This window comes from Homo sapiens, chromosome 17 (genome assembly GCF_000001405.40).
Source record: "Homo sapiens chromosome 17, GRCh38.p14 Primary Assembly".
In the NCBI taxonomy this organism is placed as follows: Eukaryota; Metazoa; Chordata; class Mammalia; order Primates; family Hominidae; genus Homo; species Homo sapiens.
In genome coordinates, this window is record NC_000017.11 from 57,069,987 (window position 1) to 57,085,590 (window position 15,604).

The 15,604-nt window shown below is 44.4% G+C and overlaps 1 protein-coding gene and 1 long non-coding RNA gene across 2 annotated transcripts in view, besides 3 other annotated features; one reads left to right on the forward strand and one right to left on the reverse strand.

Moving 5' to 3' along the window:
- Nucleotides 1–8,307: 8,307 nt before the first annotated feature.
- Nucleotides 8,308–15,052, reverse strand: AKAP1-DT (AKAP1 divergent transcript). Its single transcript, NR_186437.1, has 3 exons — nucleotides 14,854–15,052; nucleotides 9,301–9,424; nucleotides 8,308–8,717 (listed from the first exon to the last, which is right to left on the reverse strand). It is a non-coding gene; the product is annotated as an AKAP1 divergent transcript (long non-coding RNA).
- Nucleotides 9,065–9,803: an enhancer, noted in NCBI's record as "NANOG-H3K4me1 hESC enhancer chr17:55156412-55157150 (GRCh37/hg19 assembly coordinates)". NCBI's record gives its function as "activates a minimal SCP1, AML or CMV promoter by ChIP-STARR-seq in naive H9 embryonic stem cells {active_cell/tissue: H9 hESC(naive)}" and the evidence as "EXISTENCE:reporter gene assay evidence [ECO:0000049][PMID:30033119]".
- Nucleotides 14,717–14,796: an enhancer, noted in NCBI's record as "active region_12425". NCBI's record gives its function as "activates an Ori minimal core promoter by ATAC-STARR-seq in GM12878 lymphoblastoid cells {active_cell/tissue: GM12878}" and the evidence as "EXISTENCE:reporter gene assay evidence [ECO:0000049][PMID:35858748]".
- Nucleotides 15,017–15,596: a silencer, noted in NCBI's record as "silent region_8744". NCBI's record gives its function as "represses an Ori minimal core promoter by ATAC-STARR-seq in GM12878 lymphoblastoid cells {active_cell/tissue: GM12878}" and the evidence as "EXISTENCE:reporter gene assay evidence [ECO:0000049][PMID:35858748]".
- Nucleotides 15,260–15,604, forward strand: part of AKAP1 (A-kinase anchoring protein 1) — a 36,099-nt gene continuing 35,754 nt past the window's right edge. The window contains exon 1 of the mRNA NM_003488.4: nucleotides 15,260–15,412. The gene's annotated coding sequence lies outside the window, so the exon portion shown is untranslated. The remainder of the gene's footprint in view (nucleotides 15,413–15,604) is intronic.

Sequence of the window (15,604 nt, forward strand, 5' to 3'; positions counted from 1 at the left end):
TTAAGCAAAAAAGGAGGCCTTTATTGGCTGATGTTCTCAAACCATGAAAGTGCTGGAGTGACTAGAGCCAGGAATTTAAAAACTGTCAGTCTCTTATCTCTGCTGCTCTTTTCCTGTTAGCTTTATTCTTCCCTCCATGGAGAAAGGCTGATCAAGCCCAGCTTGGGTCATGTGTCCACTATGTGGACTAATCACAGGCTAGAGGAATGAGGCATTATAATTGATCTACCTGGGTCACTTGCCCACCTCCATGATTTGGAATTGAGCCTATTATTAGAAAAAAGTGTAGCATGAATGTGGCTGCTGGGAGAACTGTAAGCCAGGAAACTACCTCCAGTTACATCTACTACACTACATTTAGTAAAATTAAACTGGGCAATTTTGAGCATAACCAAAGCCCTTTCTAGCTAATGCATTTAAAGACATATCTAGCAGTTGGAGGACACAAATAAGTTGCATAGGCCCTTCATAGAATCTGATATTACAGGCCGGGCATTGTGGCTCACACCTGCAATCCCAGCACTTTGGGAGGCTGAGGTGGGTGGATCATCTGAGGTCAGGAGTTCGAGACCAGCCTGACCAACATGGTGAAGCCCCCATCTCTACTACTAATACAAAAATTAGCCAGGTGTGGTGGTGCATGCCTGTAATTGCAGCTACTCGGGAGGCTGAGGCAGGAGAATCACTTGAACCAGGGAGGCGGAGGTTGCAGTGAGCCGAGATTGTACCACTGCACTTGTCTGGGCAACAAGGGCGAAACTCTGTCTCAAAAAAAAAAAAAAAAAAGAATCTGACATTACACTAAAATGCGTTGAGAGTTTTTTTTTTTTGAGATGGAGTCGTGCTCTGTCCCCCAGACTGGAGTGCAGTGGTGCAATCTCAGCTCACTGCAAGCTCCGCCTCCCAGGTTCACGCCATTCTCCTGCTTCAGCCTCCTGAGTAGCTGGGACTACAGGCGCCCGCCACCACGCCCGGCTAATTTTTTGAATTTTTAGTAGAAACAGGGTTTCACCGTGTTAGCCAGGATGGTCTCAATCCCCTGACCTCGTGATCCGCCCGCCTTGGCCTCCCAAAGTGCTGGGATTACAGGCATGAGCCACCGTGCCCAGCTTGAGAGCTTTTTGTACTTTACTGGAAACCTTACAAACATCAGGTTATTGAGGATCTTTAGATGGAGCTCCAAAATGTGTCTCACTAGAGGCTTGCTAAGATGGGCAGAAGACATTCTGACAGTGAAAGAAGGGTGAGAAGAACAATATACGTTTTTTTGTTTTTTTTTTTAGATGGAGTCTTGCTCAGGCTGGAGTGTAGAGGCACAATCTTTGTTCACAGAAACCTCTGCTGCCCAGGTTCAAGTGATTCTCCTGCCTCAGACTCCCAAGTAGCTGGGATTATAGGCATGAACCACTACATCCAGCTATTTTTTTTTATTATTATTTTTTATTTTTTAGTAGAGATAAGGTTTCGCCTTATTGGCCAGGCTGGTCTTGAACTCCTGGCCTCATATGATCTGCCAGCCTTGGTCTCCCAAAGTGCTGAGATTACAGGTGTGAGCCACTGTGCGCAGCCAAGAGCGATATAAGTCTTAATTAGGAAGCAAAGGAAGTGAAAGATGGAGAAGATTACATCTTTACTACATTGAGTCTCTCTTATCCATAAACATATTTAATAATGTCTCCATTTGTTTAAGAATTATTTTATGTCTTTAAATAAAGGCTATAAGTTTTCTCCATGAATGTTTTGGCCATATTTTAATAGACTTATTCTTAGATACTTCATAGATTTTGGTACTATTATAAATGGTATTTTAAAAATTATTCTAATTGTTTGCTATTAATATACAAGAAAGTATTTCCCCCTCCGGTGCCCTGGGCATTTTATATCCAGAAACTTTAGTGAACTTTCTCATTAGTTCTAAGAATTTATCTGGAGAGGCTCTTGAATTTTCTCTATATTGTCTCCTAATTTTTCACATTAAAGTTAATTTTTGCAAAAAATCCAAATTAAGTAATGTAAGCCTAGGACTGTAATATCCTATATTAATGTTTTATGCCTTAACAACTAACAAAATTTATTTAGCTCTTACTGGAAATCATATTGGTCTGTGGAAGTGCTTTGCAAAGTGTGTTCCATCAGCCAGGAGAAAGTTTTCATACTTCACACTACATTCTTTCTTTGGAGATTCACAAAGGCCCTGAGAAGTCCTGCAAAGAATCTTCTCAAAACTGGGTAAAGCCTGCATTCCAAACTGACTTCATCACGGAACCCCCTTCCAAACAATACTTTCCAGCCTTCTGAAGAACTACTTTTTATAAAGAACACACTTTGGGAAATGATGGTCTAACGAAACGAGTCATGAAAACTGGGTAACCCCAGGATTTTCTCAAGAATCTACTCTCTCATTCACAATGTTCTATGGAAGCTAAGCTGGGTGGAATAAGGCTCTATTTGGCTTTTTCTTTTTCTATTCTTCAGTCTGTAACAATAACTCCCTGTGGGTTAATGCCGGCATCTGAAAGAAAGAAAAATATGCACATTAAATCTCATGAGGCTACCCAGTATGTCTGTTCCTCAGGAAAGGGTCACAGCTGGTCACAGTGGGAGATTGTCCTTGGAATTCCCATCAGTATCTTTTAACCGATGTTGAGATCACATTTTTTTTGTTTGTTTCCCTTCCTGCTAAATCCCAGGCCATCAGCTCTCATGCCATGTGTTTTTCCTTACATTATACAGAACCACAAGTGTTTATCAAAAGCTGTCCTTTCTGTGTTCTGCATTATGTACAAAGGCTAAAAATTTGACAGAGTACAACTAAATAAATGGAAATATAAAAGCTCCACAAATAGGAACATATTTTGTTGGGAGAAAAAAGCTGTGATTATGTAAGTTTTCCTTGGACTGCTATTTCTGATCAGGGTGCTTATTACACTATCTGAAAGGATAATAATGAGTGTCCACCTTCGTGGGTCTCACATCAAACTTACTTGAGGAGCTCTGAAAAAATACAGGTTTTTCCCCAACTGGGACCCTCTGAATTAGAATCTCCAGTGACAAGCTTAAGCACTTGTATTTTTAAATGTTCTGGACTTCACTCTCTGGCATTTATTACATGGCCTTTCTTTTTAAATAAATCATCTTTCAAAATGGTCTTGCCTACATTTTTTTTTCCTGACTTCGATTTAAAATAACAATAAAGAATATTTTTAAATAAGAAAAATCAATTCCGGCCAGAAGTGACAGCTCATGCCTGTAATCCCAGCGGTGTGATAGCTCATGCCTGTAGTCCCAGCTACTCAGGAGGCTGAGGTGGGAGAATCACTTGAGCCCAGGAGGTTGAGGCTGCAGTGAGCCGTGAATGCACCACTGCACTCCAGCCTGGGTGACAGAGTGAGACCCTGTCTCAAAACAAAGCAAAACAGAACAACTTTCCAAACACAAACAAATGATATTTTTTCAATGTCTGGCTCTCATCCTTGTTCATATAGAGAAATTCTGGAATTCTGAATTTGTCACTTAGCATTTCATTTTTTTAAATTTCCGTGCTACCATACAGTAATTGTCATTTTTAGGAATTGCATAATATTCCAACATGTATTTATTTGTATCATAACTTAGCTAACCATTCCTTTACTATCAGACCTTTAAGCTATTTCTCTATTTTTAGTTGCCCTAAGGAGCTTGATATGTATGGATTTTGCTTTTGTTTTGAACCAATTCCCTCGGGATAATTTTCTGGAAGTCTGGTTATTGGGTCAAAGGATATGAACGTTTTTTTATGTCTCTTGTTAATGATTACTAAATTGCTTCCCAAAAGGTTGAACAAATTCACAAAGCCATGCCCCAACTCCATGGCATAATTGCTGAGGTTTTCAGAGAGGGGCAGACAATACTAGAAGTCTGTTGGTTTTTCCCATGACAAATCAATAAATGACTCTAAAAATACAAGTCCTATTACTTTACCTAAGAAGAAAGGCAAGAAGCCTAGTAATAACAACAGTATTATTATGGCACTGCTTGACCATCTCACCCTCTATGGGCCAGCACTTTCCTTGCATTCTTTCTATTATATAATTCTAATATATATTCTATAATTCTGAATACCCTAGGAAGTTAGATCTTGCTGCTCCTCAGTTCACAGATGAGACAAGGGTGGGAAGAGAGGTTTAATGCCTTGCCCAAGGGTTATACAGTGAGTTAGTATTGTAATGTGGATTTGAACCCTGTATTGTTGGGCTTTAAAATTTTATTATTTCGTCTTTTTCAAAAACTTAATTTTTTTTTTTGTTTTCTTTTTTCTTTCTTTGCTGCTTGAATCAGAATGAACCCTGTGTTTTACAACTGCTGCTATGCTATCAGGTTGGTGCAAAAGTGATGGTGAGTTTTGCCATTACAGTTTACTTTTTTTTTTTGAGACAAAGTCTTGCTCTGTCACCCAGGCTGGAGTGCAGTGGCACGATCTCGGCTCACTGCAACCTCCGCCTCCCAGGCTCAAGCAATTCTCCTGCTTCAGCCTCCCTAGTAGCTGGGATTACAGGCATACGCCACCACGCCCGGCTAATTTTTGTATTTTTAGTAGATATGGGGTTTCACCATGTTGGCCAGGCTGGTCTCGGACTCCTGACCTCAAGTGATCCACCCACCTTGGCATCCCAAAGTGCTGGGATGTGAGCTATCATGCCCTGCCTTACAGTTTACTTTTAATGACAAAACCCACAATTACTTTTGCACCAACCTAATTAATTTCACACCATTGATTCCTAAAGCAGTCCCAAAATCTCACCAGCTAGGTGCCTCCTAATTCATAAATTGGCTGTAAAATGGAATAAGACACAATAGATGCAGTAGGTTAAGGATATCCACAATGTCCTGCTGCTTCTCCCATCAAGAGGTGGTCTATTGACCCCCCCTTAAGTCTGGGCTGGCCTGTGACTTTTTTTGACCAATAGAATGCAGCATCACTACATCACACCCAGACTTAGGTCTGACAGCTTCAGTGTTCACCCTCTTGGAGCCCCAAGCCACTATGTAAAGAGAATCAGTCTTTCTAGAGAGACCACAGAAGAAATGTGTGGCCAGCCCAGCTTTTTCAGCCATCACTGCTGAGGCTTTAGACATGATTGTCACCATCTTGGATCCTCTATCCTCAGTTAAGTCACCCCGTTGGCAATATGTGGAACAGAAACAAACCATCCCTGATGAGCTAAAAATCAGCTGTTGTTTTAAATGCTGTTAAATATTGAGGTGCTCTGTTATGCAACAAAAATAACTGAAGCAATAGGGTTTATTTTGGTGAAAACCAAATGCAGAAAGAGTATCAGCAATATGTTCAGTCTTCCCAAACCCTAACACAAGCAGAATAAAACTCACTGACATTTACCACCTCTCATGCCACCTAGCACTTAACCTCTATCATGACATTGACTCTGCTGCACGCAGCCTTAACTTACGTACACGTCTCCCTTCCCTACCAGATTAGGTGTAAATTACCTTGGTAACCACAGCCTTTTACACAAGGCCTGGCACAAAAAAGTTACTTAATACATATTTGTTGAATGAACTTTGACTTGCTCTTGATTGATTGATGAAAGCACTTGAAATGGAATAATAGCTTTTATTTATTGTGCTCAGCATTGTGCAAAGTATTTTACATAGATTATTTCATTTAATCTTCACAATGATCCCATGAAATAGGTCCTATGATTATCTTCATTTTACAGATGAGGAAACTAAGAGGCTAGGTAACTTGCTTGAGGTCACACTGCTAGGGGCCAGCGCAGATTCAAACCCCACTTTGCAAAGAGAAAATATTTCGTTATAAAACATTTCAATCACACAAATAACTATAGAGATGAATGTAACACACACCAATGTACTTCTGCTTCCCCAAAGCCTTAACCTTTTATATTTGCTTCAAGTCTTTACAATGCTTTTAAATAAATAAAATATTACAGATTCAGCTTAAGTTCCTTGTGTACTTGCCATTAGGAGGGTACACAGTGAACTTCAACTGATCTACATCCTTTTCTTCCTCCTTTATCCTTGATCCCAAGGTAACCATCAACCTGAATCTGGTGTCACTCATGACAGGCAACTCAGGCCTGTTTTTGTTTTTTCGACGTATGCATGCATTCACAGGCAATGTTTTGTGGGTTTTAAAAAACTACATAAAAGGAATCATATTGTTTACACCCTTCCATGCCAGAAATGGCTTTTCCTCAGTCAATAAATACATTTTTGAGATTCATCCACATTAATATATGTAGCTTTTTGATGCTGTATAATATTTCACTGTAGAACTACACCATAATTTATTTAGCCATTCACCTGTTGAAGGAAATTGTTTCCAAAAAGAATTTTTTTTTGTTGTTATTACAAACAATGTCTCAATGGACATTTGTATACATGTCTCCCTAAGCAGATCAGTAACAGTTTCCACCTAGGAGTCCAGTTGCTGGATTACAGTTTACATATATCTTTAACTTTACTAGATTTTTTCCAAATGTTGTGCAAAGTGGTTGTACTGATTAATATTCCCAGAGCCCAGTTTCTTAAACATTATGCAATTGTCTTTTTTTTTTTTTAGACAGGGTCTCACTCTGTTGCCCTGGCTGGAATGCAGTGGTGCAGTCATAGCTCACTGCAGCTTTGATCTCCCAGCCTCAAGTGATTCTCCCGCTTCCGCCTCCCAAGTAGCTGGGACTACAGGTGCATGCCATTATGCCCAACTAATTTGTTTTATTTTTATTTTTAGTACAGATGAGGTTTCGCTATGTTGCCCAGGCTGGTCTTGAACTCCTGAGTTCAAGCAATCCTCCCACCTCAGCCTCCCAAAGCACCAGGATTATAGGCATGAGAGATACCGCACCCAACCGTAAGCAAAAATCTTGATATCAGTTCTAGGGTTATCACCAAACAAGTGTTTTTAAAGTATCTGTGCTGGGCAAGGCAATACTTTAGGCATTTGCAGCAATTAAATGAATGAAGCCATTGCAGTGTGTGCACAAAATCCTAAGAGGTCTGGTTGGTTGTGTCATGGTAGATAGCACTAGCTCTGTTAGGACTCACCTCCAACTACAAAAGTGTCTCAGAGGGCCATGCAGGTCAAGCCCTGCACACGGGCATCCAACCCAAGGGCAAGTAGGGGCTGAAGTCCAGGCTGGGCTTCTGCACTCCACTCACCATGAAGCCTCGCACAGGGCTGTGCCTGTCTATGGAATGGAACACCTGTTGCCTAATTTGCATAATGCCACTGAATAGGCTCATGGCAGTCCTGGGTAGAATGCATTCATCTGTGGGAAACTGGTGTGCCTGATCAAATGGGAGACAGAGATTACTAAGAAATTTGCTAGGTTTTAGAATAGGTAAATCCAGAAAATGGTTCCAGAGAAATAGGAGGGGATGTGTGGAGGTTGGTGGCAATGGAAAATTTGGGTGCAGTGTCTAAGTTCTCATATTGCTATGTACTCTGCCCCATCACTCCTAGGAGTGGGTCACCTTGGCCAAATGTCTCATCCCCAGGGAAGCTCCTGTCTCCCTGAAATTCTGCGAGACTTCTGGGTCTTGCTGTTTCAGACCATCTCAGCTGCAACTGTGTGCCTAAGGGTATGCAAACTAACAAAATAAATATGGTACATGAGATTGCAAACCTTACCCAGAAAGGGTTCACTGCAGTTTCCCTACAGATTCAAGCAATTCAAATGCCCATACACAGGCATCCAGCATGGTTGGGTGGCCTCCAGGAGGATCTCAATAGTTGGACCAGAAGGTATCTCCCATTGAATCAAATGAGGTAAGTAACAGTGTTTGATGATTTAATTGCTTCTCTACATGCATGAACCTTGCTGTAGTTAAAGGACCTAAATTGGCTGTGGATAGAACCTCACCCTACCTGAAGGAGTCTGCAGAGTTTCTTAGGCTCCATTTCTAAACTAAATTCCAATTGGAAGAAGCTGGGAAGAATGGAGGGGGCTCTGGGAAGCTGGGAAATATGGCCAACCATATTCCTGACAGCCACCCATTAAACAGAACCAGAATCAGGATCTTAAATAACTAGCTAAAAAATTCCCAAGTAGTATGTGGTGGTGATGGTGCCTGGGTAGCAGGCCCCTTCATCACAGCCCCCGGATGGGGCTCCTGCCCTGGGAAGCCAGGGCACCTGAGGTTCAGAGGGGAGTCAGCGGACAGCCCTCTTTTATCATGTTCTGAATGACATCACGTTCCCTTTTACCAACTGCTGTCCATGGTTCAAGAAAGAAGGGCACTGTGTTAATTTCCTAGGGCCTCTGTAACAAAATACTGCAAACTGAGTGGCTTAAGACAGCAGAAATTTATTGTATCACAGTTCTAGTGGGAAGAAGTCCAAATCAAGGTGTCAGCAGGGCCATGCTCCCTCTCTGAAACCTGTAGGGGAATCCTTCTTTGCCTCTTCCTTACTTCTGGTGGTTTGCTGGCGATCTGGCATTCTTTGGCTTATAGATATATTAATCCAATTTTCTGTCGTCACATGGTGCTGTCTCTGTGTCTCCCTGCCTTCACATGGTTGTCTTCTGTTTTTTTTTTTTTTGAGATGGAGTCTCGCTCTGTCACCCAGGCCGGAGTACAGTGGCGCGATCTCGGCTGACTGCAACCTCCGCCTCCTGGGTTCACACCATTCTCCTGCCTCAGCCTTCCGAGTAGCTGGGACTACAGGCGCCCACCACCATGCCCGGCTAATTTTTCTGTATTTTTAGTAGACACAGGGTTTCACCATGTTAGCCAGGATGGTCTCGATCTCCTGACCTCACGATCTGCCCACCTTGGCCTCCCAAAGTATTGGGATTACAGGCATGAGCCACCGCGCCCGACCAAAACATAATTTGCCCAGGCTGGAGTGTGGTGGCACCATCACAGCTCACTGCAGCCTCAACCTTTCATGCTCAGGTGATCCTCCCACCTCAGCCTTCCAAGTAGTTGGGACCACAGGCACATGCCACCATGCTGCACTAGTTTTTTGTATTTTTAGTAGAGACAGGGTTTCACCGTGTTAGCCAGGATGGTATTGATCTCCTAACCTTGTGATCCACCCGCCTCGGCCTCCCAAAGTGCTGGGATTACAGGTGTGAGCCACTGCGCCCGGCCTGGTTGTCTTCTTATAAAGACGCCAGTCACACTGGAGTAGGGGTCTAATCTATCCCAGGATGACCTCAGCTTAACTAATTACATTTGCAATAACCCTGTTCCCACATAAGGTCACGTTCTGAGGTACTGGGGGTTAGGGTTTCAACGTTCTTTTGAAGGGACCTAATTCCACCCATAACAGACCTGTTTCTGTATAAACTGCTCCCTTGGTCTCTGGATTTGCCTCCAGTGGCAGTTGGTTAATCCATGGGTTCCAAGTCAGATGGCTTGGGTGAAAATCTTGCCATCGCTCTTGTGTGACTAAGGTCTGTGGAACAGAAATACAGTGATACAGATTGCTGTGATACAGAAATAAATACAGATAACAAGAGTATCTAGTATTTGAGGTTGATGGAGGATTAGGATAAAGGACTCTGCATGGTGCTGGGCATTAAGTGCTCATTAAGCCTTAGTTACTTAAGTGCCATTAGTATTGTTATTCCCCCAGCTCTTTCCATTGACTTCTCTAGGAGTGGGTTATTTATTCTTCCCTGCAGGCACACATGGTCCTGGGGCATAACCAAATGCATCTCCATTTTAAGAGAACTGGGAGTGGGGCGGAGTGTGGGAGGGCTCCTTCAGTGTATACATATAAAGGAGACAGTTCGTATTTATTAGCACTAAAAAAGTTCTTTCTGTAGATGCTTCCAATAGAAAAGTAGGGCATTTCTCAAACATGTGCCCCTGAAATTGGAGGGACTGCCAAGAGAAGAAAACCAACTGACTAATTTTTTTTTTGAGACAGAGTCTTGTTATGTTGCCCAGGCTGGAGTGCAGTGGTGTGATCATAGCTCACTGCAACCTTGAACTCCTGGGCTCAAGACATCCCTCCACCTCAGTCTCTGGAGTAGTTAAGACTACAGGAGTGCACCACCACATCCAGCAAATTTTTTTAAATTTTTTTGAGACAGGGTCTCACTCTGTTGCCCAGGCTGCTATGCAGTGGCACAATCACAGTTCACTGCAGCCTCAGCCTCCTGGAGTCAGGCAGATCCTCCTGCCTCAGCCTCCTGAGTAGCTGGGACTACAGGTGAGCACCACCATGCCCAGCTAATGTTTTTTATTTTTTGTAAGAGACAGGGTCTTCTTATGTTGCCTAGGCTGGTATTGAACTCCTAGGCTCAAGCACTCCTCCTGCGTCAGCCTCCCAAAGTGTTGGGATTACAGGTGTGAACCACCGCACCTGGCCACGTATCGAGCTAATTTCTAAAATTTTCTTGTAGATATACGGTCTTGCTACATTGCCCATGCTGCTCTTGAACTCCTAGCCTCAAGAGATCTTCCTGCCTTGCCTCTCAAAGCTCTGGGATTATATAGGTATGAGCCACTGCACCCGGCTCATTAACTAGCTAACTGTTTTTTGTTTTTGTTTTTTCTTTTTTTGAGACAGAGTCTCACTTTGTTGCCTGGGCTACAGTGCAGTGGTGTGATGATAGCTCATTACAGCCTCAACCTCCTGGGCTCAAGCAATCCTCCCACCTCAGCTCTGCAAGTAGCAAGGATTAAAGGCAAGTACCAGCCTGTTTAGCTAATTTTTAAAATTTTTGTAGAGATGGGGTTTTGCCATTTTGTCCAGGCTGGTCTTGAACTCCTGGGCTCAAGCGATCCTTCTGCCTTGGGCTCTCAAAGTGCTGGGATTACATGCATGAGAATTAACTACCTTTTAAAAAGAGACTCACAAGGTGGCATTTACCTTGATGGATTTTCCCATGGTCCTGTGTCAAGCCCTCACTTAGCTTTAAAACAGGTTCAGAAACTTCACCATGTTCAAGTCCCAGAACTGAAAGCTGACTCATACTAAAAATATTCACATGATGTACAAGATACAGAAAATGAGAGAGGGTAGGTTATGTAATTTATAATGATAAAAATGTCATTGGTGGACCAGTGCCTTTCATCAGTCCGATCATGGCTTCTCTCCTTAGTGAGAATGATCAGAAGGCTGCTGGGTGGGTACAGAGTCAGAGTGAGGGGCTTGGGTCATAGAATTTAAATGAATAATAGCATTGGGTTCAGATCTGACTGGTTTGACTTCTCAGAGAGCCCAGCTTCTTGATTAAATGAGATTGGACACCTTCTTCCTTTCACAGACACTTACTACTTCTTCTATTTTTATTTTTATTTTTATTTTTTTGGTCTCCTTCGAATACTTTTATTTTTTACCTTCTTATTCTGACTGACATACTCCTTTCTGGATAAAATGTTTTGCTCTATTCACCAGATTCTAATTTGTTGTTGTTGTTGTTAAGGTCAGGATTAGAGTCTGATAGAAATGATCCATAACTAATCTGTACCGAAAAAAATGCCGTATTTATAAGATCATGCAAATGATTTCAGGGTGTTGTGGACAACCTTGATGTCCCAGGTTAAATTCCTATGCATCCTAGGTTAAAATTCCTGCCTTAGGCAGACCTTGCCCATTTTTGAGCTGACAAAGCTGAAGCCTAACAACCTTATCTTATTTTCCTCATGGCCAAGTTCTTAGGATCACCTTCCACCCTCACCTCTCTTCTCATTCCTCTACTTTCTAATCTTATATTAGGGCCACCGTGGTGACCTTGGAACTGTTCAGACCTTGTGGATACTTCCTCAGCCACAGGTACTGGGTTGAGGTCTAATGGTGATTGTAGTCAATCCTATTTTCTCACCTTTCCCCCTTTGACTTGTATCTTGCACTTTCTCTAGTATTCCAGTTAACACACTCCTCTTTTCTTCCCTCATTCCTTTTTTCTGGCAGGCTGTGCCCATGTCCCCTTGCATCGGGTATGACTGACATATTTCTCTCATTCACCGCCGGTCTTTGTCCTTCTTTCTCATAACCATATTCATAGCCCCATCTCGCTGTTTTACTCCTTCCATCTTCCTGTTTTTCTTTCCTACCAATGCTTCCAGGGCTTACATCCCTGGACATCATTTTCTCAGTTTCTTTCTATTCCTACCTCCACTACTGCTAAGCATTGCCTTTTTTTTTTTTCCTTTTTTTTTTTTTTTTTCCCCGAGATGGAATCTTGCTCTGTCACCCAGGCTGGAGTGCAGTGATGCGATCTCAGCTCACTGCAACCTCTGACCCCCAGGTTCAAGTGATTCTCCTGCCTCAGCCTCCCGAGTAGCTGGGATTACAGGTGCACAACATGCCTGGCTAACTTTTGTATTTTTAGTAGAGACAGGATTTCACCATGTTGGCCAGGCTAGTCTTGAACTCCTGACCTCGTGATCCACCGGCCTCAGCCTCCCAAAGTGCTGTGATTATAGGTGTGAGCCACCGTGCCCGGCCTAGCATTGTCTTTAATATATCTTTTTAAACATGATTTTCAAACCATATTTGTATTTCCCATTCAGACCACTCCTCTGAGCTCCAGACTTGCATATCCAACCTAATTACTATTTATACTTTGATGTCACAAAAACAATGGGTCAAAAATGAAACCAACACTTCTCTGCCTTCAGATTTCTCCTTCTCAGGAAATTGCACCCCAGTTCACATTGTAACTCAAGCCAGAAGAATCATCATTCATTGCATTCATTGTTCCTTTTTCTTTACCACCAACAACATGAGTAAGTCTGCTCCTCTTTCAAAATATATCTTAAGTCCAAAGCAGTGTCTTCATCCCCAGAGCCATAATCCTTAGCTCAAACTAGCATCATTTCTTACCTGAACCACGTCCAGCATCCTCTTTCACTACTCTCCCTGATTCGACACTGATCTCTCTCTAATCTGTTCTTCCCACAGCAGCTACAGCTTGCTTTTAAAAACAGAAATTATGTCACTCTCTACTTAACCCTCTTTAATAGCTTCCTATTCATTCACGAAACACATTTTTACTGAACACCCTCTATGTACCAGGCCCTCAAAAATCCCTGCCCTCATGAAATAAATGAAGTCTAGACAGGGGTAAGGGTTATGAAGGAAAGATGGGGTGAGGGATGGGGAGAGAGAGAGAGAGAGAGAGTGTGTGTGTGTGTGTGTGTGTGTGTGTGTGTGTGTGTTTACAATTTAAAAGAGAGTCCAGGCCAGGCACGGTGGCTCACGTCTGTAATCCCAGCACTTTGGGAGGCCGAGGCGGACAGATCACCTAAGGTTAGGAGTATGAGACCAGCCTGACCAACATGGTGAAACCCTGTCTCTACTAAAAATACAAAAAATTTTAGCTGGGCATGGTGCCACGTGCCTGTAGTGGGACTACTCTGGCGGCTGAGGGAGGAGAATCGCTTGAACCTGGTAGGTGGAGGTTGCAGTGAGCTGAGATCGCACCACTGCACTCCAGCCTGGGTGACAGAGACTCCTCAAAAAATAAAAAATAAAATAAAACAGAGAGTCCAGGGAAGACTTCACTGAGTCTGAGTAGGTGACCTTTGAGCAAAGGACTTGAAAGAGGTGAAGACAGTGAGCTTTGCAGAATATTCCATGTGGAGGGAGGCCCTGAGGTAGAGTCATGACTGGCTTTGGGACTGAACAGAATAGAATAAAATCCAAGCTTCACTATTTACTATGGCAAATACTAAGTATTTACTAAGGCAGCCCAGGCCCCTATTCCCCCAAAAAACAAAGACAAGAAACGATCCTCTTTATCTCCTTTCCTGACACTCCCTCCCTCAATACATACCATCCACACTGGTCTTCCAGTTTACCAGAAGTTGTTTCCTGCTTTTTCCTGTGTTGTGCATCTGCTAGGAATACTCCTCCAACCCTTATGCCCGTATACAATTTGCAAGGCTGGTTCCTTCTCATCCAATGGGTCTCAGTTTAAATTTCATTTTAGGCCTTTTCTGACCACAGGACCTAAAACATTTGGGCTCTTTTTGGCCGGGCGCGGTGGCTCACGCCTGTAATCCCAGCACTTTGGGAGGCCAAGGCGGGCGGATCACGACGTCAGGAGATCGAAACCATCCTAGCTAACACGGTGAAACCCCATCTCTACTAAAAATACAAAAAATTAGCCGGGCGTGGTGGCAGGCGCCTGTAGTCCCAGCTACTCGGGAGGCTGAGGCAGGAGAATGGCGTGAACCTGGGAGGCGGAGCTTGCAGTGAGCCGAGATCGTGCCACTGCACTCCAGCCTGGGCGACAGAGCAAGACTCCGTCTCACAAAAAAAAAAAAATAAAAAATAGGGCTCTTTTTCTTTCTTTCCTATGTCAGTTTCCTATTTGTTTCCTTCCTGACATCTACCACACCATGCAATTGGGATTCATATATATATGAATTTGACTTAAATCTCATTAGGTATAGTAAATGGCATCTGTCATTTAAACTTGCATTTGATCACTAGTGAAGATTAAGCATTTTCCCAAGTAATTGTTAGTTCTTAGCATGATCTATTTTCTATATTTTGGCCAAACAAATGTTCATTTAAAGTCACTTTGTTTTAAGGATGACAGCAGGGCTGGACAGCCAAAACCCTACCCTCTCCATTTATTTTGGAGGAATTTATTTTCCCAAGGTCCTGGCAGAGATAGTGACTCACCGTGACTATCTCTGCAAAAATCATTCCAAAACCCACACCAATTCAGAGAAAAGTGCTTCATTTCGATAACATCGACTTGTGAAAACGAGCAAGAAAGTTGCATTTGAGTGGTACCAGGTTTCACCATTATGCAGTTATCGAGCAATTATTAATGGCCAACCCAATTATACGCTACAAGGAAATGACGGTCACAGGGAAGCTCAAAGCCCCGAAGCGAGGGAAGCCCTGCTCCTCACCGGCCCCTCCGCCTTTTCCAGGGCGCTCTCCGTCCCGAGGCAGGAGATGGCCTGGTTGACCCTTCGAGACAAGGCGGCAAAACCGGTGCTGGGCTTGCGGGGCAGGGAATCAAGGTTCCTCCGGTTGCTGTACCGTCCCGCCCGGCCCCTCTCCCGGGCACCGGAGAGATGACGGCTCTCTCGCGAGAGCGCGAGCAAGACCCGGCTCCGGGCGGCGGCGGGATGTTAGCCCAGCGCTGTAGACCGCGCCCCCTCTGGCGCAGCTGGGAGAGGCGCGGCGGAGGCACTGCCGGGAGCGGCCGGCGGCGCGCACGCGCAGGTGAGCGGGGCGGGCTCGGGAGCGCGCGGGCACAAGGGCGAGGGGCGGGGCCTGCGTCGCGCTGCGGGCACGTCGCCGCGCGTCTTCAGTATTTAATGTCTCTGTGTTCCACCCGCCTGGGCTAGCACGTGGGGGAGCTGCGGAAGCGCGGCGCTGCGGGCCGGGCCGCGGGGCACAGCCGGGGGCCGGCGGCGGCGCGCGGACTCCGCATCCCGCACCCCGATGGTAGCCGAGGAGCTGGTAGGTCGGGGGCAGCTGCGCCGGGGACCCCCTGCCGGAGACCCGAAGGCGGCGGGGTCGGGGCGATGGGGAGCCTGAGGTGCAGGTGCAGGGTGCGACGCGCCCTCCAGGTACCCCGGGGGCGGGACGCTCCGGACGCAGAGGTGTCCTGGGGGCTCTCGGCCGCCGCGCGCTGTCAGGCAGGCCCATCTT